Source organism: Homo sapiens, chromosome 9 (assembly GCF_000001405.40).
Source record: "Homo sapiens chromosome 9, GRCh38.p14 Primary Assembly".
Lineage (NCBI taxonomy): Eukaryota > Metazoa > Chordata > Mammalia > Primates > Hominidae > Homo > Homo sapiens.
Window position 1 is genome coordinate 104,600,373 of NC_000009.12, and position 26,617 is coordinate 104,626,989.

General features: G+C 35.3%; 2 protein-coding genes and 1 long non-coding RNA gene across 3 annotated transcripts in view; all 3 read right to left on the reverse strand.

Annotated features, from left to right (window-relative positions):
• The window catches only part of LOC107987105 (uncharacterized), a 217,429-nt gene that overhangs the window by 70,162 nt on the left and 120,650 nt on the right, over window positions 1-26,617 (reverse strand). The window contains exon 3 of the long non-coding RNA XR_007061705.1: window positions 21,658-21,820. This is a non-coding gene — a long non-coding RNA (uncharacterized LOC107987105). The remainder of the gene's footprint in view (window positions 1-21,657; window positions 21,821-26,617) is intronic.
• OR13C2 (olfactory receptor family 13 subfamily C member 2) lies at window positions 4,299-5,255 on the reverse strand. Its single transcript, NM_001004481.1, has one exon. It carries the CDS (start codon window positions 5,253-5,255, stop codon window positions 4,299-4,301), a length of 957 nt encoding a protein of 318 aa, NP_001004481.1.
• OR13C9 (olfactory receptor family 13 subfamily C member 9) lies at window positions 16,876-17,832 on the reverse strand. The gene has a single exon (NM_001001956.1). It carries the CDS (start codon window positions 17,830-17,832, stop codon window positions 16,876-16,878), a length of 957 nt encoding a protein of 318 aa, NP_001001956.1.

A 26,617-nucleotide genomic window follows, 5' to 3' on the forward strand; every position in this document is an offset into this window, starting at 1 on the left:
ACTTAAACCCAAGCAGTATGGCTTCAGAATTCGAGCTCTTAATACTCAAAACTTAATACTCAGTACTTAATAACTTAATGCTTAAAGAGAATTTGCAAAGAGAATTTGGCTCATGGGCTAGAATATCTTGCAATCTCACTAACAGTATTAATATTTCAAAAGAAATATCAGATAAAAATGTGATTGGTCAGTAAGGGGATTTCAATATGGTAATTTGATAGCAGTTGATTTTGATGCTTCATATTTTGCTAGAAAAGTACTCATTTCTATAACAAATGTTTTGTCACAGAGTTGCATTTGATCATTATAATTCTTGTGTCCTCCCTTACATGAAAATTTCTCATTTTCATTATGATGCCTCTTTGACTTTTTTTTTCCTTTATTCAACTCACAAGGGGTTTTCCTATATTCCAGGTCTTTAAAAAAAAAAAACAGCTTTAGGATAGATTTATTCTCTTGACTTTTTGCGTTTCATTAAGTTTCTATCTTCATAAATTTCTTGTTTATTCGGATCTATTTTTCTAATTTTCTGATTTCTAATTTCTATTTTCCAAATCTATTTTTCTAATTTCTTGAAATAAGAAGACAAATTCTTATTTCCTCCTTCTTACTCGTCTATTTCTTGCTCTAATGAAGGCACTTAGAGCACTTTTTGTTTTATTATAGACTTTGTATTTTATGGGAATTTTTTTACTGGTTTCTAGATAATTTTTTTGTTTGTAAAGTTCCTCTGAAATCCAAGCATCTTTCTTCATTATTTAGTGACTGAGCATTTTCATTCTATTTTTACTATTTATTTCCTATTTTATTTTATGTATTTATTTATTTATTTATTTATTTATTTATTTATTTATTTTTCTGAGACGGAGTCTCCCTCTGTCATTCAGGCTGGAGTGTAGTGGTGCGATCTCAGCTCACTACAGCCTCCACCTCCCAGATTCAAGTGATTCTCCTGTCTCAGCCTTCTGAGTAGCTGGGACTACAGGCATGTGCCACCACGCCTGGCTAATTTTTGTGTTTTTGGTAGAGACAGGGTTTCACCATGTTGGCCAGGCTGGTCTTGAACACCTGACCTCAAGTGATCTGCCCACCTCAGCCTCCCAAAGTGCTGGGGTTACAGGCATGAGCCACCGTGCCCGGCCCCATTTTATTTTAATATGAAAACATGACCTATAATTCTCTAGTTTGCACATTTCGTTGTATTTGACTATTTTACAATAAGCACATATTTCCTTTGGAATTTTAGATATATAAATAAATTAAAGGTATTTGTCATCCAAAAACAGCATAAAAAATTTCATAATTTCAAAGATAAAATTTTACTTACACACCATAAATTAGGAGCCCCTGTTTTTGTAAAGTGAGTGTTATCTTTACTAAAAAAAAAAAAATCTATTTTTTATAGTCTTTTCTGGAAGATTAGAGCTAATATCAAATTCCTCCCCTTCTCATATCTCAATTAATGTCAGGTATTCCCCTAATTTAAGATTTAATTCCTATCAATTGTGATTAAGCATCATTTTTGGACACAACATGTGATGGTGTCAAGGTTCTTTTATAAATAATTAAATTAATTTTCTTTTTTAAGTTATTTTCCGGAAATTTTATATACTTGCTATGAAAGTTGAGAAGCAGGTAATAGTTTCTTTGGTCATTATAGATATGCTGCCAAGAAATACTGGTGTTAGATGTCATGACAAGCAATGTGGAAAAGTAAACATGCTGTAGTATAAAGAATAACTAACTCAAGAAAGAATAGCCAGGTGTGTATGCTTGTCTTTAACTTGCATACTTTGAGGTTTGGACAAGATGTATTAACTTCCATAAGCTTTGTGGCCTCATCTATGAGATAGCGACACTATAGCCCAGATCACAGGATTTTAGAGAGATGATGTATGTGAATTAGCTGATAGCCAATATATTGCTACATTTTTAAGTGTTCATTTTAGAAGTCCCCAGGACCCTAAAAAGTTGACATAATCTCAAGCTTAGAATATTTGGAAATTGGTCAGGCATAAAAGTGTACGAAGATGATGAAATAATTTATTGGATTAAGAGCAATGTAATTTTGCCTTTTTTGCTGTATCTCTGCTCTTAACCAAATCATGAACCTGTCTTGGGACTTCAGCGGGATATAAAAGTATGTGCTTCGCTCCAGTTGCACCTCCTTCCATATAATTTTCCTATTCATGGATATAAATGTATATTGAATCATATTATAAATGTCATGCTCTAAATTGAGTGCAATGGGAGTAAAGATGGTAAGAATATAGAGAAATACTTACCTTTGTAGATTTTGCTATCTGGTAGAAAAATCACCAGGAACATGCACACACTACACATACACAAACTGAACACACACACACACTCACACATGCACACAGATACATGCCTGGTATATCAGATAAGTTTATCTTACCTTGTCTCCAAATTAGAAAAAAACAGGTTGCTAACAACAAAATCATCCTCCTTAAGCTTTTGAAATAAATTTTCTGAATGAAAACTCCTCTAGAGGCCCAAATATTAAAATAAAGCATTATGTCAGTATTATAATGATTGTGTATTTTGCCCAGCAAATTTGAACACATAAATATATCAAGACAGGTAACATGCCTGTATTTTCTTCAGATCTTGATTCTACAACCTGTGAGAGAAAAACTGTCCTAATATTCTCCTGTGAGGAGAAATGTGTGTTTTTAAATTTCTTCTTGCTTTAGTTAATTTTCCATCAAAAATTTATAAATCTGATATAAGACTATGGAGCTACCACAGTCACCCCAGAGAATTTATGAAAGTGGCTGGATTTAAGCTGTGAAGGAAAACAAAATCAGCATTTGAGCATTCAAGACAGCCTACCTGTGGGTCAAACATAAAATGCCTGACTTCCAGGGCTTTCTACCTACCTGGAATTCTTAGTGGGTGCAAAAAGTCCAATGAACTGGTGTATGGGAACTAATAGATTCTCATAGCCTATTTTGTCAGGATGTAAATTTAATTATCAATGATCTCAACTCTTACCATCAGATTTAATCTGTAAACAGCTATGATGGATATATTTAAATATAGTTTGTGACTGTTTAATATTCCTTCAACTAAAATTAACAAGTGAACTTGGGAAGATTAAATGAGTGACTAAACCCAAAAGATTCCACAAGCAGGTAATTCTTATTTGCCTGTGCAAAATATGTTTATGCCCAATATAATCTAAATTCACTGGTCCATTAATAAAAATTGATTCAGCCAAACTGATTACCTAGAATGTGGTTCACTCCTGAACACACTTCATCATTCATCTTGGGCTGTAAATTTAAAATGTCCTTCAATAGAGAAAAAAGTTGACGTAAAAACCAAGGAAAAGCAAGGTAGTATCTGACTTTCCCCAATCCTCTTCTTCCTCAAATCAAACTAGTTAGTAACAGAGACAAGACATCAATAGTATTCTTACTAAAAATTAAGAGCTTGGACATTCTTCTAAGATTTGGAAAAATATTGGAATTCCCTCGGGACAGCAAAGAAATCTGGCATCTTCTAAATGGGCATTGATATGACACTCCATTCAGCCCAAAAGTAGTCCACATTATTATCTAGACCAGTAGACTGATTTTCAAACCCATTTTTAATTTTGCAAAATGTTCTTTAGAGCCAACATGTAAGTTAAAGCAAAGAAAGACCATAAAGCAGGATATCCTGACTGATTGCATAGGCCCTGCTTTTAAACTCTATTTATCTACTGCCCTTTGATAGTCCCAGATACTCAACTTCACACACACACAAAATTTAATACAGAAAAAGAAACTGGTATTTAGTGGCTTAACAGGATCTGGAGATTAACGTGAAACTATAACACAAGGCTTGTCCCTGGAAAATGTGAGTACACTATGTTGGGGTTTTTCTGTTTTGCTTTTTCTACAACAGAGGGCTTTATTTATTTTGAAAGATTCTATGAAATGTTGCCTATGAAATAACATTATGGAAAAAAGTGAACATAAAAAGGCACATCACACCCAATTCCAATGCAGAAAAAAAAACCCATAATATGAAAGTTACTGTTCAAAATGTTGAAACGGGGCCATTTCCCACTAGTAGAGTAATAGGTAACCCCTCTTTCTTCTTCATCCTACTGCCCTGTATCTTGCAAATTCTCTAGAGTGGACATGCAATAATTTTGAAATGCTGTATCTCATTATTTTAACATAATATATGAAAATGCATAAAAATAGTAAAAGTACCCAAAATTCTAACATAATTCTGAAGTTTCAACAATATCAAGTGTGTTCATATTCCAGTACATTTTGCACTCACTTGCTAAAGAACCTTCTGTTCAGTAGGTGTTTTACTGCCTCTTTCACATCCTTGTTTCTAAGACTGTAGATTAAAGGATTCATCATGGGAGTCATCACCCCATAGAACATGGATATAATTTTGTCGGTAGCATCCAAGTCATCCGAATTAAGTGTCTCTTTAGACTTGGGCTTCATGTACATGAAGAGGATGGTCCCATAGAATATTATGACCACAGTCAGATGGGCTGAACAGGTAGAGGAAGCTTTGCTTCTCCCCTCGGAAGAGCTAATTTTGAAGATGCTCACAATGATTAACGTGTAAGAGACAATGATTAATAACAAAGGTGTCAATATGAACAATGTTGTGGCCACAAGCATGATGAACTCATTGTCTGAGATGTCAGCACAGGCCAGTTTCATGACAGCCAGAATTTCACAGGTGAAATGATTGATGATGTTATTCCTGCAGAAAGGCAATTGTACCACAAACACTGATTGTACTGCAGAATTGACAGCTCCTATGATCCAGGACCCAGCTGCCATGGGTACATAGGCATCCTTACTCATGATGATGGGATATCTCAGAGGGTTGCAGATAGCCACATAGCGGTCAAAGGCCATCATGCCCAGAAGCACACACTCTGTTGTCCCCATGGCCAAGCCGAGGAACATCTGCACTGCACAGCCAGAAAGGGAAATGGTCTTTCTTTCTGAAAGGAAGCTCACTAGCGTGGAGGGAATAGAGGTGGTGGTGTAGCAGATGTCCAAGAAGGAGAGGTTCCCCAGAAAGAAGTACATAGGGGTGTGAAGGTGAGGGTCCAAGATGCTGATTAAAATGAGAGTACCATTCCCCAGAAGGATGACCACATACATTATGAAGATGAGCACAAAAAAGAGTAACTCAAGTCTTGGGTGACCAGAAAGTCCCTTCAGAAAAAATTCCACCAGAATGGTGTGGTTTTCCCATTCCATTTTACTCTCTATTTAACCTGTAAGAGAGAGCATGTTAAGACAAATATTTATCTTACTCTGATTACTTTCAAGCATGTATCAATGAATATGTATCATAATCCCCAGGAAAAAGAAAAATAAAAAAGGAAAAGACCAAAGAAAGAAGAGAGAGCATAAAGAAAAGTGGACAGAAAAGAGGGAATTATGAATGGAGAGAGGGAAGGGAATGAATGAATGAGTGAATGGAGAGAGGGAAGGGAAGATAAAACTAACATGTTTCGTGCTACAGCCATTTAATTCATTTAATATCATCACAGTTCTAGGAGAGGCGTATTAGTATCCATATTTTACAGATGAATAAATCAAAGCAGATATGTTAAGTAAACTTGACCAAAGGTAAATACTATATAGCAGAGCTAAGATTCAAACCTAAATCTTCCTGTTGAAGTCTGAACTTTTTGTCATATTTGTCATCACATACATAAACTGTAGGTTATAATAGAAATGAGCATTGTATTACATATACTTGAACACTAAACTATTTTTATTGGCTATAAATCACCACACAATAGATCGATGCTCTTGTCACTCCTTGAAATTATACTATGTTACGTATGTTGTCTCTCTTTCCCAGTAGAATGTAAACTTCATTAGGGCTGGTACTTATTCTTGCTTATTTCCACAGCCCCTGTAGCTAGAATAGAACAGACACAGATGCAAATGTTCAAAAACATTTCTTGGATGAATGAACAAAATCAAAGGCAAAATAATTGCTACATTTCTTACTGTGTGCCAATCCTCTATTAATTGTTTTCTTTGTGCATTACATAATGGAGTCTGAATAGCAAGCCTATGAGGTAATTACTGTTACTATTAGTATCACCAAGCCTATTGTGTAGAGGGGAAAATAAGGCACAGAAAAGTTAAGTAATTTGCTTAAGGTCAATTTCATAAAGACAAATAAATGAAAGAGCAAGGACTTAAACCCAAGCAGTATGGCTTCAGAATTCGAGCTCTAATACTCATTTGGCAAAGAGAATTTGGCTCACAGACTAGAATACCTTGTATTCTAATTAACAATACTAATATTTCAAAAGAAATATCAGATAAAAACTGTGATCAGATAAAAAAAAGAAGATTTCAATATGGTAATTTGATAGCAGTTGATTTTATACTTTATATTTTGCTAGAAAAGTACTCATTTCTATAACAAATATTTTGTCACAGAGTTGCATTTGATCATTATAATTCTTGTGTCCTCCCTTACATGAAAAGTTCTCATTTTCATTATGATGCCTGTTTGACTTTTTTTTTTCCTTTATTCGACTCACAAGGGGTTTTCCTATATTACAGGTCTTTAAAAAAAAAAAAAAACAGCTTTAGGTTAGATTTATCCTCGTGACTTTTTGAGTTTCATTAAGTTTCTGTCTTCATAAGTTTCTTGTTTATTCGGATCTATTTTTCTAAGTTTCTGATTTCTAATTTCTATGTTCTCTATTCTAATACTATTTATCTAATTTCTTGAAATAAGAAGAAAAATTCTTATTTCCTCCTCCTTACTCCTCTATTTCTTGCTCAAATAAAGGCACTTAGAACAGTTTTTGTTCTATTATAGACTTAGTTTTCTATGAGAATTTTTTTTACTGGTTTCTAGATAATTTTTTTGTTTTTCTCTTTAGTTCCTCTTAAATCCAAGCATCTTTCTTCATTATTTAGTGATTAGGCATTTTCATTCTATTTTTATTATTTATTTCCCATTTTATTTAATTAATTTATATATTTTTATTTTTATTTTTTTCTGCGACAAAGTCTCGCTCTGTCATTCAGGCTGGAGTGCAGTGGCGCCATCTTGGCTCACTGTAGCCTCTACCTCCCTGGTTCAAGTGATTCTCCTGTCTCAGCCTTCTGAGTAGCTGGGACTACAGGCATGCACCACCACGCCTGGCTAATTTTTGTGTTTTTGGTACAGACAGGGTTTCGCCATGTTGCCCTTGCTGATCTTGCACTCCTGACCTCAAGTGATCCACCTCAGCCTCCCAAAGTTCTGGGATCAGAAGTGTGAGCCACCACGCCCGGCCCCATTTTATTTTAATAGAAAACATGACCTATAATTCTCTAGTTATGGACTTTTGTGCAGCCAATTGCATGATGTATGTTGTAAATGTTAACAAAAAAATGTGATTTCTCTTTGGGAAGATACATAGTTTTAAATACATGCACAAAACAGGTATACATGTAAAATTTATTAAATATATTATTAAAATCTTTGAAATAACCTATTTTCTGCTGCCTAGATTTAATGAATTCTATGTAAATATTGTTATCAAATTCTTGTATACCTAGAATCCTTTTGTTATATAGGCTTAGTTTCTATGTTAGTGTAGTGTAGATAGATTTATGGTTAATATATCATCTTCATAAATTATAACTTATCATTAATTGATGTATCTTTATTCTATTTGACACTTTAAAGTTTAATTCTACTTTTATGATATTGATATTACACTCCCGCTTTCTTTTAGTTTGCTTTTGTCTGCTATCTCTTTGTACAACTTCTTATTTTTAACTTCTCTTTTTCACTTTGTTTAAAGTATACTACTTTTAAATAACAAATATCAGAGTATGTTTTAACTACTTTTTAAATGTTTGGGTCATTTATGAGAATATTCAGACTATTCTATTTACTTTAACATAATTATTAATGTACTACATCTTATTCTTTCCATCATACTTTATTTTTATTCATTATTTGAATTATTGCATTCTCTTTTTCCCAGTTTTTTATTTTTGCTAATTGACGAAGTTGTCATTCACTATTTGTTTTCATTAAGTTGAACACTACTCATTTTTTTCATTCAGGAAGTGATTGCCTTCTTTTTCTCTCCTCATAATTTAACTTCTAAGGCCATAAACTGTTTTCTCCAATAGGGTGTGCTCTAATCACCTTAATTATCCCTGAAATCTAAATGAAGCCAAAACTCAAAATACTTTTACTCCACTTTTATTCTAATCTCCTAATTCCTAGGTTTTACTGGTATAATACTTACAAAGTCCTTACAATCTGCCTTTTTAAGAGTTCCTTTTCAGCCTTTAGATTATACAAGCTTGGATAGTCAATATGTCTAACTATCTATACATATATTCATTGATCATCATTGATCCCTTTTTTTCACTCTCTTGAGGATTGTATTTATTGTTTTGTGTTTGATTATAGTATATTTGCAGCAATTTTCCTCGATGAGAATGTGAGTAATATATACTCACATCAATCCCTATAGATTACCAAATGTCTTCCTTTTATATCACAGGCAAAAGTTTATGAATTTTGGCCCACACATTCTGTGTCTGAGATATAGCCTAAGGAAATAATAAAGATAGTTATATACAAAATGGAACACATAGTTATATATTTTATATATAGAAAATATATCTTATATGCAACATAAATATACAAATATTATATATACAGTACACACAAAAAAAAATTGTGACTGTTATCATTAATTGACATATCTTTATCCTATTTGATACTCTGTTATTAGCTGAAAAGAATATTTAAGAAACCAGTGACCAAAATCCCAGGGAACTTTCAAACAGAAATTCCCTAATACCTCCCACTCTGTGGCAATATTTATCAAAATAACAAATACATATATATATAACATTTGACCACAGACTGACTTCTCAGTAATTATCATACAGGTATACTGGCACATGCCAAAGAGATTTTAATAGAAATGGATTCATTAAAGTATCATTTGTAACAGCAGATGTAGCAAACAATTTAAATTTCCACAAGAAGAAAACATAGAAATAATGCAATATTGTACTGCCGTCACAAGGAGTAAGGATGTTTTGTGCACTGATGTGGAAAGATCTTCAAGAAACATTAAATGGAAAAGTAATAGAACAGTATATATGGTACACTATCATTTGTGTAAAAAAGATTATATATATATGTGTATGTGTATATATACATGCATGTATTTTTGTTCACACATAGAGTATCTCTAGAAAAATAAACAATAGTTTTTATCCCCAGAAAAGGGAATATATAGCTTATTAATTGGGGCGGGACTGTTAACAGTATACCCTTTAGCACATTTTTAAAATTTTGAACCTTGTGAATGTATTTCCTATTAATAAAATAATATTTAAGCTAAAGAGTTCTTGTTTGTGGGATTCCTAGCCTTTCTCCTTTCACCTTTCCAATAGCATACTACATTAAAGCCATCCGTTGCCATAGGACATGACCACATGCATTTGAAAACTGTTCTAACTTGTTCAATATCACACACTAAATGGTAATTGCTGAGGATGAACAGGTACTTTATAGTCACATTCCCAATACTTAAGATAATTTATTTAGTATCAGTAGGACTTGCAGTACTATGTCTGTCTCATTTCCTACCAACAAGCTCTAGGCTATTCTTTGACCTGGCTTAGGGTCTAACATCCAATTCCATGTCACTTTTTTTCCACGAAACATTTTAATGTTTTTATGATCTAGAAAATTTCCTGGAATAAAATTATGGTTCAGTAAATGTTGGCTATTATTCTTTTCCATTTTCAGGTTCAAGGAGCCTTTTATCTTCAGAATATTTCCTCCACCTAACATTATGAGGTACTTTGCTGTGAATCTCAGGTCCATCTTCTCAATTTCGAGACATAATTAGTCTCCTCAGGATCACTTCAAACCCAACCTGATTTCCCTATTCTAAATTCCCCCTATCGTTCTGTAGCTTTTCATACAATTTACATTTTCTAGAATTTTTCAGATTTTCTGGATTAAGGTATTAACTACTTGAGACCCCAGAGGGCATTTTACAATGCGGAGTTCTTTGAATAATGGAGATTATATGCAAACCTGTAAAAATCTGCTCTCTGCAAAAATTATTGTTTCATGAGCTACCTCTGTGCTACAAGATATACCATCAAGCATATTTCATAATATTGTCAAGGTCACAGACTTTGGAAGAGGCTTGGTTCAAATGCCATCTCTGCCCCTTATTAACTAGGTGACCTGGACATGTCTCTGATCACCATAGTCATCAGTAGAATGAAGATATGGACAACATCTATACCATGTACTTGTGCATAAGATTAAATGAAATGATGTGTATAACTCACTTAGCACAGCAAGGGTTCCTATTGTTAGTGGTTTCCTTCATGCTTGGCTTTAATGACTTTTCATTCTGTTAAGAGTTTTTTTGACATCCCTGAACTAGTCATTATCATCCTTCCATGAGGTCAGGTATATGTGGCTTACTTAGTCAGATCACACACTATGTTCTAATAAATGGTATTATTTTCATTTTTTAAAAATTAGGATACGTTTTATCACAGTCACTCCAACACTTTGGATGCCAGTGAATTAGGTGGCAGAAAAGAAAAATCATCCAAAAGATCCACCTTTTATCGAAGTCAATTTATTTCATAAAAAAGATAGGATTTTATTTTTTTTCATGTTGATAACAGTTTATTGTGTCCTCTTATATTTGACAGTTTTATTGGATATAAAACCTTATCTTTTTTTTGAAGTCTTCTTTTTATTATTATACTTTAAGTTCTAGGGTACATGTGCACAATGTGCAGGTTTGTTACATATGTATACATGTGCCATGTTGGTGTGTTGCACCCATTAACTCATCATTTACGTTAGGTATAAAAGATAAGATTTTAATAAGGTGCCAGTGTGTTGCTAGTTTTAAAACACATGACTGAGTTTTTCTTGACTGAAACTATTTTAACATCTTGAGCAAGCCTATTAACATAAAAGAGGAAAAGGAAAGTTACTCACTATTACAATCATGACCTAATGACAGAAAAGCAAATATTCAAAATAGTCGCCAATGCTAATGCAAACACATAAGGATATTCCCTAAGATGATCTCTTTCTGACTATGCATTCCTTTGGCAAATTATATATTTCAGATCCCAAGAGATTATTTAGTTTTTTTTTTTATTTTCCAAATTTGTCATAATGTTCTCCTCACATGATACTGTTGTATAAAGAGTCCCTGTCATATTACCTAGCACACCGTTCAACTGGTTCACTGGTAACTGAACCAAATTGACCTGAGTTACTGCTAGGGAACCACAGTCAAGGATTTGTTTAATATGAATTCTATACTAAAGAACACACAATCTGCTATTTACTGTGTAATAAGCTTTAATTAGCTTAAGTAGATGATACAGTGTCCAAATACTTTGTAATGTCATAAAAAACTGCACACTGACATAAAGTAATTCACAAGGGCTGGGCAAATTCAGTTTTTGTTCAATTGCCTTTGCATGCAGAACTGCTCTTTTGGTCTCATGGTTTTTATTTTGTTCCTACTACATCCCAGTGAATAGACACTTAAATTCCATTTCCAATATTCAAAGTCACTCTCAAATCAGAAAAAAAAAATGTCATTTTCAAACTGATTTAACCAATCAGTCCAAGTCTCTCTTACAGTTGAAACATTGTTCTTGTTTTTGCAATAACTTACCTCCAAACCAGAGGTTGCCTCTCTTTATAGGGTGCAACAGCAACAGACAATTTTGTCTTACTTTTCTACTTGCAGCCAGTCTTCATAGCCACTCATTAGTAGCTGAATCTCCAAAGAGGCAAGACGAGTGAGTAATCATTTTGTCATAGAAATTGATTGACTAGTTGATGTTTACAGAAACATGGTGTTATGGACATGATTACTAGGATAAAGTGTCATGAAATTCTTCTAGTTCAGAAAAAGTATCATCAGATTCCTCTAGTTTAAAAATAGAAAGAAAATTAATATTTGGCAATAAATTTTAGGAATAGGGCAAATTGAATTTGCCTCTGAAGTGCATGCTGAAATACCATCCCATTGTGGAGACCCACAAATTCCTAAAGATCTGCCTCAGGATTTAAGAGACAATTTAAATATTTAAGGACTCTTCTAAACCTCTGTGCACAACTTTAAATTGCCTCCAAGATGAAAGGTGTATAAAACTTATGAAACTTCAGAAATAAAGCCCTGAAGACCTAATTATGGGAGGCCTATTACTCTATTTCATACACAAAATCAGAAGGGAGCTTCTCTCTCTCTCTCTCTCTCTCTCTCAATCTCTCTCATCATTTTGGAAGTATAACTGATGTTTTCTGTACACAAATTTCCCATTCACTTTATGGATTTAGTTTACAGTAAAAGTTGACTCTGAATAAACATATATTTACAGATGGTGTGAAATAATATGCATTGAGTAAAAACTGTACTTCAAGAAACATACAACCATTCTACTTTTCATCTTCAGCACAATATTCAATAAATTACTTAGGATATTCAACACTTTAATATAAAATAGGCTTTGTGTTACATGATTCTGCCCACCCATAGGCTAATGTAAGTCTTCTGAGCACATTTAAGGTAGGCCAGGCTAAGCTGTGATGTTTGGCAAGTTAGATAAACTAAATGCATTTTCAATGTATGATATTTTCATGTAAAGATGAGTTTATTGGTATACTCTTTGACATTGATATATTTTCATTTATTCTAACGGTGATATATACTGTAAAAAAAAGAATGAAAGGACAGAAGGAAGAGAAGGATGGAGGAATGGGAAAAGGATAAAGGAAGGAAGAGAGGGAATAAAAGAGGAAAGAAGACAGGGACAGAAAGAGAAGGTAAAAGAAGGCAAGACAAGAAAAGATATCCTCAAGCAGTATATAATGGTGTAAAAAACAAAGCCAAGAATAAACTATAATTAAATAGCCTGGCAAAAACCACAGTTCAGAAAGAAGGCTGATACTAATCATAAAACAATGTAATAACTTAGGCTAAAATAATTTGCCTTTCTCTAATGAGAGCAAACTGAGGCATCTTAAGGCTGAACACTTCTGAATGATTGTTTTCATTTTTTCTCTTCTTTATTTTTAAAATTTATTTTTATCAAAATAATTTCAAAATTTATTCAGACAGAATTCTAAAAGTGAAATGAGTGGGTCAAAATCAATGAAGATTTTTTATGAATCTAAAAGGATAATACTAATGTAGTGTTATGGTGTCGCTAATTTTATCTTCCTCTTATCAACACTGGATGTTGTCAATAATTTAGATTTTCAATCTAATCTAAAGGGCTTAAAATGGTATCTTGTCATTATTGTAAATGGCATTTTAATCTTTATAGATATTTACTATTTACATTTTGGTGTGTCTTAAAGAGTTTTATTTTCTTTCATGTGAGTTGTGCACTCATGTCCTCTATTCATTTTTCTATTGTGTATTTTACATTTTTACACTGGTTTCTTAAATATTCTTTTCAGCTAATAACAAAGTATCAAATAGGATAAAGATATATCAATTAATGATAACAGTCACAATTTTACATTTTTAAATCACTTGTTTACATGAAATGTATTATATATATATACTCTATGAAACTTGTAGAAAGAACATCTGCAAATATAAAAATGCCTCAGACACAGTCCTCACCTTCAAGAATCATATAGTTAGTAAGAAAAACATTCATGTAATTAGTGAATTTCAATACAAAGTGGTGAAAGCTGTGATTAAAGTGATGGCTTAGTGTGCTATGGAAGTGAAACAGGAAAAATTCCCTTATCCCCCTGGCAGAGCATGTGATGGGGGTGTGGCTTGCTTCTTCAGTTACACTAAGAATTGTAGATTTTGCTATCTGGTAGAAATTTTTGCTATCTGGTAGAAATGGCAGATTTTGCTATCTGGTAGAAATGGTAGATTTTGCTGTCTGGTAGAAAAATCACAGGAACACGCACACACTACAAACACACACACACACTACACACACACACACACACACACACACACACAGAGATACATGACTGTTATATCAGATAAGTTTATCTTACTTTGTCTCCAAATTAGAAAAAACAAATTGCTAACAACAAAATGATCCTCCATAAGCTTTTAAAATAAAATTTCTGAATGAAAACTCCTCTAGAGGCTCAAGTATTAAAATAAAGCATTATGTCAGTATTATAATGATTGTGTATTTTGCCCAGCAAATTTGAACACATAAATATATCAAGACAGTTAACATGCCTTTATTTTCTTCAGACCTTGATTCTACAACCCTGTGAGAGAAAAACTCTCCTAATATTCTCCTGTAAGGAGAAATGTGTGCTTTAAAATTTCTTCTTCCTTTAATTAATTTTCTATCAAAAATGTATAAATCTCTAATATCCAGAATCTACAAAGAACTTAAACAAATTTACAAGAAAAAAACAAACAACCCTATCAAAAAGTGGGCAAGATATGAACAGAAACTTCTCAAAAGAAGACATTTATGCAGCCAACAGACACATGAAAAAATGCTCATCATCACTGGTTATCAGAGAAATGCAAATCAAAACCACAATAAGTTACCATCTCACGCCAGTTAGAATGGTGATCATTAAAAAGTCAGGAAAAAACAGGTGCTGGAGAGGATGTGAAGAAATAGGAATGCTTTTACACTGTTGGGACTGTAAACTAGTTCAACCATTGTGGAAGACAGTGTGGAGATTCTTCAAGGATCTAGAACTAGAAATACCATTAGACCCAGTGATCCCATAACTGGGTATATACCCAAAGGATTATAAATCATGCTACTATAAAGACACATGAACACCTATGTTTATTGCGGCACTATTCACAATAGCAAAGACTTGGAACCAGCCCAAATGTCCATAATGATAGACTGGATTAAGAAAATGTGGCACATATATGCCATGGAATACTATGCAGCCATAAAAAAGGATGAGTTCATGTCCTTTGCCGGGACATGGACGAAGCTGGAAACCATCATTCTCAGTGAACTATCACAAGGACAGAAAACCAAACACTACATGTTCTCACTCATAGGTGGGAATTCAACGATGAGAACACTTGGACACAGGGTGGGGAACATCACACACTGGGGCCTGTCGGGGGGTAGGGTGTTGGGAGAGGAATAGCATTAGGAGAAATACCTAATGTAAATGACGAGTTGATGAGAGCAGCAAACCAACATGGCACATGTATACCTATGTAATAAACGTGCACATTGCGCACATGTACCCTATAACTTAGAGTATAATAATAAAAAATGGTATAAATCTGATGTAACACTATGGAGCCACCTGAGTCATCCCAGAGAATTTATCAAAGTGGCTGGATTTAAGTTGTGAAGGAAAACAAAATTAGCATTTGAGCATTCAAGACAACCTGACTATGAGTCAAACATAAAATGCCTGACTTCCGGAGTTTTCTACCTACCAGGAATTCTTAGTGGGTGCAAAAAGTCCAATGAACTCGTGTATGGGAACTAATAGATTTTCACAGCCCATTTTGTCAGGATGTAAATTTAATTATCAATAATTTCAACTCTTGCCATCAGATTTAATCTGTAAACAACTATGATGGATATATTTAAATATAGTTTGTGACTGTTTAATATTCTTTCCACTAAAATTAACAAGTGAACTTGGGAAGATTAAACGAGTGACTAAACCCAAAGATTCCACAAGCAGGTAATTCTTACTTGTCTACGTAAAATATGTTTATGCCCAATATACTCTAAATTCACTGGTCCATTAATAAAAATTGCTTCAGCTAAACTGATTACCTAGAAGGTGGTTCACTCCTGAACACACTTCATCATTCATCTTGGGCTGTAAATTTAAAATGTTCTTCACATAGAGTAAAATGTTGACGTAAAAACCAAGGAAAAGCAAGATAATGTCTGACATTCCCCAATCCTCTTCTTCCTCAAATTAAGCTGGTTAGTAACAGAGACAAGACATGAATAGTATTTGTACTAAAAATTAAGAGCTTGGACATTCTTCTAAGACTTGGAAAAATATTGGAATTCCCTCGGGATAGCAAAAAAATTGGGCATCTTCTAAATGGGCATTGATAGGACACTCCATTCAACCCAAAACTAGTCCACATTATTATCTGGACCAGTAGACTGATTTTCAAACCTATTTTTAATTTTGCAAAATGTTCTTTATGCTAAAGCCAACCTATAAGTTAAAGCAAAGAAAGACCATAAAGCAGGATATCCCGATTGATTGCATAGGCCCTGCTTTTAAACTCTATTTATCTCCTGCCCCTTGATAGTCCCAAATACTCAGCTTCACACAAAAATATTTAAATACAGAACAAGAAAATAGTATTTAATGACTCAACAGGATCTGGAGATTAATGTGAAACTATAACACAAGGCTTGCCACTGGAAAATGTGAGTGCAGTATATTGGGTTTTTTTCTGTTTTGCTTTTTCTACAACAGAGGGCTTTATTTATTTTGAAAGAGTCAATGAAATGTTGCCTATGAAATAACATTATGTAGAAAAGTGAACATAAAAAGGCACATCACACCCAATTCCAATACAGCAAAAATTTAAAAACCATAATACGAAAGATACTGTTCAAAATGTTGAAAAGTAGCCATTTCCCACTATTAGAGTAATAGGTAGCCCCTCTGTCTTCTTCATCCTACTGCCCTGTATCTTGCAAATTCTCTAGAGTGGACATGCAATAATTTTGAAATGCTGTATCTCATTATTTTAACATAATATATGAAAATGCAGAAAAATAGTAAAAGTATCCAAAATTCTAACATAATTCTGAAGTTTCAACAATATCAAGTGTGTTCACACTCCAGTACATTTTGCATTCACTTGCTAAAGAACCTTCTGTTCGGTAGGTGTTTTACTGCCTCTTTCACATCCTTGTTTCTAAGACTGTAGATTAAAGGATTCATCATGGGAGTCATCACCCCATAGAACATGGATATAATTTTGTCGGTAGCATCCAAGTCATCTGAATTAAGTGTCTCTTTAGACTTGGGCTTCATATACATGAAGAGGATGGTCCCATAGAATATTATGACCACAGTCAGATGGGCTGAGCAGGTAGAGAAAGCTTTGCTTCTCCCCTCAGAGGAGTGAATCTTGAGGATGCTGGAAATGATTAATGAGTAAGAGATAACTATCAAGAGCAGTGGCATCAATGTGAACAATATTGTGGCCACAAGCATGAGGAACTCATTGCCTGAGATGTCAGCACAGGCCAACTTCATGACAGCTAGAATTTCACATGAGAAATGATTGATGACATTCTTCCTGCAGAAAGGCAATTGTACTACAAATGTAGTTTGTACTGCAGAGTTGACAATCCCTGCAAACCAGGACCCAACAGCCATGGGTACATAGGCATTCTTGCTCATGATGATGGGATATCTCAGAGGGTTGCAGATAGCCACATAGCGGTCAAAGGCCATCATGCCCAGAAGCACACACTCTGTTGTCCCCATGGCCAAGCCAAGGAACATCTGCACTGCACAGCCAGAAAAGGAAATGGTCTTTCTTTCTGAAAGGAAGCTCACTAGTGTGGAGGGAATAGAGGTGGTGGTGTAGCAGATGTCCAAGAAGGAGAGGTTCCCCAGAAAGAAGTACATAGGGGTGTGAAGGTGAGGGTCCAAGATGCTGATTAAAATGAGAGTACCATTCCCCAGAAGGATGACCACATACATTATGAAGATTAGCACAAAAAAGAGTAACTCAAGCCTTGGGTGAACAGAATGTCCCTTCAGAAAAAATTCCACCAGAATGGTTTGGTTTTCCCATTCCATTTAAATGTCTCTCTTTTACCTGTAAGAAGTCAAAAAAATTAATATAATTTATTTACATGGTAAATCCAAGTATACCAATGTACAAATATAAAAATTTGCCACGGACCCATAAAAGTATTGAAGAAAGAGAAAATAGGGAAGAGGAGGAAGGAATATACGGAAATGGAATGAAAAGAATTAACAATGCAGGAAGAGAAATATGAGGGGAAAGCTTATGATATTGATCACTCATTCTTGGCCAGGAACTTTGTGATTTTTTTTCACATTACTTAATTTAAACTCCACATTATCATTTGAAAGATAAGAAAACCTAAAGTGAGAGAGTTCAGCCTAAAGTCATATAACTAATGTGTAGCAAAGCCTAGGCTCCAAGACTACCTGTTTGTGTCCCATACTTGCCTGAGGTTTTTTAATGAATTATAAAAGCAATACAGAGTGTATTGCATAAGAGATTTGGTAATTTACTTTAAAACCTCACTCCCAGGTCAGGAGAACTCAACAATAACCCATATGTATTCCAACACTGAAAGAAGTGTGTCAATCTGGAGGGAGAATCATCAGAAATGAACCCAACCAGTGATTACTGCATTCCTGATTATCCAGAGAACACGACCAATTCATGTAAAGCCCAATAATATGAAATCTTCGTGTTAAAGTGCAAACACCTTTTTCTTTGGTTAGGGGTGGAATTTTTTTGTTGTTTTTTAAAATTATCATACAGTTAGATGTCATACCATAAACTGACTTTTTATTTCCTAGTGTATGGTTCTGTGAATTTTAAAACATGTATAGATTCATATAACCACGGCCATAACCAGAACACAGAACTCTTCTATTACCCCAAAACACTTCTTTGTGATATTCTTTTCTTAGTCACCTCTTCCACTTACCTGTACATCCTGGCAACCACTGATATTTTCTATCCCTATAGTTTTACGTTTACCATAATGTCATATAAATACATATAAATAGAATCATATGAGCCACTGGGGTTGAGCTTCTTTCACTTAGATAAAGCCTCTGAGATCCATTCAAGTTATTATTGCTAAATAGTATTCTATTGAGTAGATTACTGTATTTTGCCTATCTGTTCACCTTTTGAAGGATATTTGGATTGTTTCCAGTTTGGGGCAATTATGAATAGAGCTACTATAAATATTTCTGCCCCAATTTTTGTATAACCATAAGCTTTCATTTTTTTAGAATATCCAGGAATGAGACAATAAGCATGTTTAAATGTATAAGAAGCTGCCAAACAGTTTTCCAGAGTGGCTGTACCAGTTTTGCATTTCAACCAACAATGTATGAGAGTTCCACTTGCTTCCCATCTCATCATTTAATATTGTCAGTAATTTTTTATCCATTCTAATAGATAGTCATATTTAATTATGATTTTATTTTACATTTCCTTGATGACTGATGATGTTTTTCCATTCTTTAGTAAAGTATCTTTTGCCCCCTTTTTTTGTTAACAAATGGGGGTCTCGCTATTTTCCCAGGCTGTCCTCAAACTCCTGGCCTCAAGCCATTCTCCCACCTCAGCCTCTGAGTATCTGGGACTACAGATTCATGTAACTACCAGCTTAACCAGAACACAGAACTACAGGCATGCACCACCATGCTGGTTCTATTGCTCATTTTTAATTTTTTTTCCTTGTTGAGTTTTGAGAGTTCTTTATATATTTTGGATATGAGTTATTTATCATGTGATTTGCATATATTGTCTCCCAGCAGCTGGTTTGTCTTCTCATTCTCTAATGCAAACACCTTTTAGTTGCCATGTTAATTGGTTGCTGCCTAAGTCCAATTGAACATGATGCAAAGAAAGACTACGACTAAAGAGACATGTTCTAACAGCACATCTCACTTTAGGTGATACTGCAGGAAAATATCCACTGGAAAATAGCCATTCCCTGGGAATTGGAAATGGTGGATTTTGCTTAAACTTGCCTCAGAAAGTCTCAAGCTATCTCTTTTAATTTTTTCTCAGGAACAGTCATTTCTCCCCACCCAACTACCCCTCTACACAAACAAATTTCCAGTAGTATCATTGTCCATTGATGAATATCTTCCACTTAGTTCACAAAACAAAAGTAATTTCTGAAAACAAACCAGGCACTTAACACATAGGCCATTTTTCTTTATTCACAAAACTTGGCACAAGTTTAAGGTCTAAATTGAGTTGTTTGAACTTATTTCAACCAGCTTCTAACTAACCAGCTCTGCCTTTGGCCATTATAAGGGTATTTCTCCTTTCAGCATATTTTGCCCTTATTTCCATCAACTCCACTTTTTATACTTTGGGATCCTTTTATACCCTAGAAATACATCCTTTTTTATCTAAATCCTAGATTCACTTTTTTAATTCTATGTTATAAATAATGCCACCTCAATTCCAATTCCCTGTTAAATTATGACTGAGAAGCAATTTCATGGTAAGACACATTCTTCTAACCACTGCCACGATGCAGCTATTATTGTGTCAAGTCCACTTTGTCTAATAGAGAGAACATGTGCTTAAGTCCTTTCTTGGCCAGTTACTAGCTGTGACCATGGGCAATTTATAAATTCTCTGAATCTCACTATCTTCATCTATAACATGGGGGTCTTAATAGGCTTATAATGGGGTTCTCGGGAGAATAAATAGGCAAAGCATGTAAAGTACATAGCATGTAGTAAGCACTATTTTTGTTCCTTCTTATTTTCTACTGACTTGTTCTTCTCTCAAGTTCTTTTATGTCTCTGTCCCCAGTATCAACCGCTGCACAAGTATCTTTGGAATTTCATCAATCACACTTTCTCATATATCAAGTCTCCTTTCATCTAAGTCAAACTATTTTTTATCACATTCATGATATGAGATAGATGCGCATTATACCAAAGTCTACTCACTTTGCAGTGAACAGTGTTATACCATTATAAAAAAAGTCCATTGCAGTTTAAAACAAGGAACATATAGGGTGACATTTTTAAATAGAGGCTATTTCAGTTAATTCATCTAAAATCTAAATGTGTGTGTGTATCTCACAAATGTTATATCTAAAGTCACCATACAAATGCATTACCAGCAACAAAAAAAATTAAAAATATTCAAACATCTCCAAAATACTCGCAAGCATAAGAAGCCAAAATTCTTCCTATTAACTAAAGACTCATTGCTCCTCTTCATTTGCGTTTTCACAAATTCAAAGATATATTCAAGAACAAGTAATAAAGTGTTTGTGTTTCAAATAGTATGCCTAGTTAGAGGTTCTGGGACAGGGACCATGCTAGAACATTGTCTACTCATGATTAGTATTGGATGAACATTTGCTAAACTGAACAAAATCAAACTGAATTAGTGCTGTGATTTAAATGGCCACAGAATCAGAACTTTGGTGGTAACAGACTGCTTTGCATTCTGGACCAAGAGTACAGATTGGCAGCTTATTGAGCAACAGAAGAGAGATGATACTTTCAGATGCATATACATGTGCTTGTAATAAAGTGAGGACCACAAAACTGTATTTTGACCAATGAATCTTTATTCCCAGTTAGAAATTATAAACCTATTCTGTAGAAGGACTGTTCATGAAAACAACTATAAACCTAAACATCATCTGTTTTGAATGCTCAAATTACTTTGGATATGCAAGTAGTCTTTTGATAATATTTTTTCTTTTTTTCTATTTTTTAACTATATCTGAAAAAATCCTCTTGGATTGTACACTTTCTCTAATAAGAAATACTACATTTTCAAAAGACATGGCTTATTTCAATTCATTTCATAAGGCTAACCACCACCCCCGCTTCGATTTGTGTTAGTAGTATGGCTTCAGCAATTACCTCTAAATGGAAGGTCAGCTCACTTCTTAGGTTGCAATACACAGCAGATTGTTTTGCCTTGATCTTCTGTTTTTAGGCTGTTCAACAAAATTTTCTGTGAAGCTGATGAATTTCTGAAGAAGGGATTACTGTTTGGAAGCCATGATGACACAGGGTATATTATCTGTAAAACATTGATAACAAAGGTATTATTTCTAAGTTGTTTCAAAACAGCATACATTACATCAGCTATATTTACAAAGGAAGGCTAATGTGGTTCTGCTAGTTCAAAAGTAAGAGGAGAAGAAAATACTGGGCAGTTCACTTTGTGAATATGGCACATTTCATTTGCCCTTGAAGCCCAGGTGGAAACATTGTCCCATTGAGAAGGCCCAGGAAATTCTCTAAAGAATCTTCCTTGGGCTCAGGGAGGCAATTTAAATATTTCTTGCTCTCAGGGACTTCTGAAAATTTCTAAGTGATAACTTTAAATTGCTTCAGGCAAAACATATTCAAAACTTTTAGAAATTTCAAGAATAATGCCCTAAAGACTTAATCATATGAGACCCATTATTGTAATTTACATAACCAATCAGAAGCCCTGAAGACATGTCTTATCCCATTTTCAATCTATTACTATATACTGCTGAGATCCTTTCTCCAAATATATTCTAATCACTTGGTCCAGACCTTTGTTCATCCTATCATGTCATCTTGTATGTAGTACAGTAGAAAGAACTCAGACTACATTAAGTCTTCATTATTAACAATAATAATAATAGAATACAAATTTCCAGGCATCATTATAAGGGTTTTATAGATATTATGTCGTTTAATTTGTTTTTGTTAAATTAACCCCATCAAAAAGTGAGTGAAGGATATGAACAGACACTTCTCAAAAGAAGACATTTATGCAGGCAACAGACACATGAAAAAATGCTCATCATCACTGGCCATCAGAGAAATGCAAATCAAAACCACAGTGAGATACCATCTCACACCAGTTAGAATGGCGATCATTAACAAGTCAGGAAACAACAGGTGCTGGAGAGGATGTGGAGAAATAGGAACACTTTTACATTGTTGGTGGGACTGTAAACTAGTTCAACCATTGTGGAAGACAGTGTGGCAACTCCTCAAGGATGTAGAACTAGAAATACCATTTGACCCAGCCATCCCCATTACTGGGTCTATACCCAAAGGATTATAAATCGTGCTGCTATAAAGACACATGCACACATATGTTTATTGAGGCACTATTCACAATAGCAAAGACTGGGAACCAACCCAAATGTCCATCAGTGATAGACTGGATTAAGAAAATGTGGCACATATACACCATGGAATACTATGCAGCCATAAAAAAGGATGAGTTCTTGTCCTTTGTAGGGACATGAATGAAGCTGGAAACGATCATTCTCAGCAAACTATTGCAAGGACAAAAAACCAAACACCGCATGTTCTCACTCATATGTGGGAATTGAACAATGAGAACACTTGGACACAGGAAGGGGAACATCACACAGCGGGGCCTGTCGTGGGGTGGGGGGAGGGGGGAGGGATAGCATTAGGAGATATACCTAATGTAAATGACGAGTTAATGGGTGCAGCACACCAACATGGTGCATGTATACACATGTAACAAAGCTGCACGTTGTGCACATGTACCCTAGAACTTAAAGTATAATAAAAAAAAGAAAAAACAAGTTTTAATGTATAACTAATCTAGAAATAATTGTATTTTGCTCTGAAATTGGAATTTAGATGTTATTGTAAATGTGGGTGGCATTTTGAAATTCACAACAAATTCAGAAATGTTTAAATCATACGATAGAAATGTAGAAGCTATTTAGCTTTTTTATTGTTACTCCAGAAGCTAATTTGTAACTTCATCTCACTCCATACCGTAAGCATTTCCAAAAAATTCACCTAAACAGATAATACTATTCCCTAGATTTATTGGCATAAAAATCTTATCTAATTTACAGTGGGAGGAGGTGATGCAAAACCATCCCAGATCACAAGGAATTGCTTCCTGGCCATCTTGTTAAGTTCTGATCTGTCACCATGTGGCTAAGCTTCTGATACCGTTTGGCTGTGTCCCCACCAAAATCTCAACTTGAATTGTATCTCCTAGAATTCCCACGTGTTGTGGGAAGGACCCAGTGGGAGGTAATTGAATCATGGAGGCAGGTCTTTCCCCTGCTATTCTCATGATAGTGAATAAGTATCATGAGATCTGATGGGTTTATCAGGGGTTTCCGCTTTTGCTTCTTCCTCGTTTTCTCTTGCCGCCACCAAGTAAGAAGTCCCTTTCACCTCCTGCCATGATTCTGAGACCCCAGCCATGTGGAACTGTAAGTCCAATGAAAACTCTTTTTCTTCCCAGTCTCAGGTATGTCTTTATCAGCAGGGGGAAAACGGACTAATACAGTAAATTGGTACCAGTAGAGTGGGGCATTGCTGAAGAGATCCCCCAAAATGTGGAAGCGACTTTGGAACTGGGTAACAGGCAGAAGATGGAAGAGTTTGGAGGGCTCAGAAGAAGACAGGAAAATGTGGGAAAGTTTAGAACTTCCTACAGACTTGCTGAATGGCTTTACCCAAAATGTTGATAGCAATATGGATAATAAGGTCCAGGCTGAGGTGGTCTCAGATGGAGATGAGAAACTTGTTGGGAGCTGGAGCAAAGGTGACTCTTGTCATGTTTTAGCAAAGAGACTGGTGGCAATTTGCCCCTGCCCTAGAGATTTGTGGAAGTTTGAACTTGAGAGAGATGATTTTGGGTATTTGGCTGAAGAAATTTCTAAGCAGCAAAGCATTCAATAGGTGACTTGGGTGCTATTAAAGGCATTCAGTTTTATCAGGGAAGCAGAGCATAAAAGTTTGGAAAATTTGCAACCTGACAATGTGATAGAAAAGAAAAATCCATTTTCTGAGGAGAAATTCAAGCTGGCTACAGAAATTTGCATAAGTAACCAGGAGCCAAATGTTAATCCCTAAGATAATGGGGAAATTGTCTCCAGGGCATGTCAGAGGTCTTCACTGCAGCTCCTCCCATCACAGGCTGGAGGCCTAGGAGAAAGTGGTTTCGCTCGCCCAGGGAACCCCTGCTGGGTGCAGCCTAGGGACTTGGTGCCCTGCGTCCCAGCTGCTCCAGATGTGGCTAAAAGGGGCCAATGCAGAGCTCGGGCCATGGCTTCAGAGGGGGTAAGCCTCAAGCCTCAGAAGCTTCCACATGGTGTTGAGCCTGCAAGTGCACCGAAGTCAAGAATTGGGGTTTGGAAACCTCTACCTAGACTTCAGAAGATGTATGGAAACACCTGGATGTCCAGGCAGAAGTTTGCTGCAGGGATGGGGTGCTCATGGAGAACTTCTGATAGGGCAGTGCAGGAGGGAAAAGTGGGGTTGGAACCCCCACACAGAGTCCCTACTGGGGCACTGCCTAGTGGAGCTGTGAGAAGAGGGCCACCACCCTCCAGACTCCAGAATGGTAGATCTACCAACAGCTTGCACCATTTGCCTGGAAAAGCCACAGACACTCAATACCAGCCTGTGAAAGTAGCTGAGAAGGAGGCTGTACTCTGCAAAGCCACAGGGTCAGAGCTGCCCAAGACCATGGGAATGCACTTCTTGCATCAGTGTGACCTGGATATGAGACCAGAGTCAAAGGAGATCATTTTGGAGCTTTAAAATTTAACTGCCCTGCTGGATTTCGGATTTGCATGGGCTCTATAACCCCTTTGTTTTGTCCAGTTTCTCCAATTTGGAACGGTTGTATTTACCCGATGTCTGTATCCTCATTGTATCTAGGAAGTAACTAGCTTGCTTTTGATTTTACAGGCTCATGAGTGAAAGGGACTTGCCTTGTCTCAGATGAAACTTTGGACTGTGGACTTTTGGATTAATGCTGAAATGAGTTATGACTTTGGGGGACCGTTGGGAAGGCATGATTGGTTTTGAAATGTGAGGACATGAGATTTGGAGGGGCCAGGAGTGGCATTATATGGTTTGGCTGTGTTCCAACCCAAATCTCAGCTTGAATTCTATCTCCCAGCATGTGTTGTGGGAGTGACATAGGGGAGGTAATTGAATCATGGGAGCCAGTCTTTCCTGTGCTATTCTCATGATAGTGAGTAAGTCTCAAGAGATCTGATGGGTTTACCAGAGGTTTCTTTTTTGCTTCTTCCTCATTTTCTCTTGCTGCTGCCATGTAAGAAGTGCCTTTTGCCTCCCACAATGATTCAGAGGCCTCCCCTGCCATGCAGAACTGTAAGTCCAATTAAACCTCTTTTTCTTCACAGTCTCAGGTATATCTTTATCAGCAGCATGAAAACAGACTAATACAGTTTCCCTCCTAAGAAGAAAGCGGTTTTGGACTTCTGTATTTTGTTTTGTTTCATAACTATGTACTTTTTTTTTAAGAAATAAAAAGGTAAGCTCTTTACTCATTTTTCCCTCCTCTTTCTTGCCAAGTCACAAGGGACCCCTAAATCCTATATCCAGCATTACTTAAGTAAAGCCTCCAAATCAGTCATATCAGAACAGTTTCAAGCTAATGAGATTGTTCACTTACTTTATTTGGCAAAGTTTTAGTTACTGTTTTTTTAACCTATTTCATTAAACCTGGGACATAGGTCATATTGTATAAAATTAAATGGTCCATTAAAGTACTCCCCCATCAGAAAATTTTTTAAAGTACAGTTATTTCTTCTGATACAACTTGGGATGTGAAAAACATCCTAATGGACATGCAGTGCAACTCAGCCTTTATGTGTGATCTCCAGATACCTAAAGAAATTGCCCATTTAAATTAAGATTTGACAGTTTTTACTGAGTCATCTTTCTAATATAATTATGCCCCTGCTTCCATTTATTCTTTTTGGAGTTACATTTTTCTTTTATCCATATGTATGTATCCATACTTATGTTAAAAACTTAGAAATTTCAGAAAAGATACCAAGATAAATTTTTTGGATAT

Bases quoted from the DNA above. Each gene is read 5' to 3' on its own strand.
- OR13C9 (NM_001001956.1), bottom strand. From the start codon at position 17,832: ATGGAATGGGAAAACCAAACCATTCTGGTGGAATTTTTTCTGAAGGGA.
- OR13C2 (NM_001004481.1), bottom strand. From the start codon at position 5,255: ATGGAATGGGAAAACCACACCATTCTGGTGGAATTTTTTCTGAAGGGA.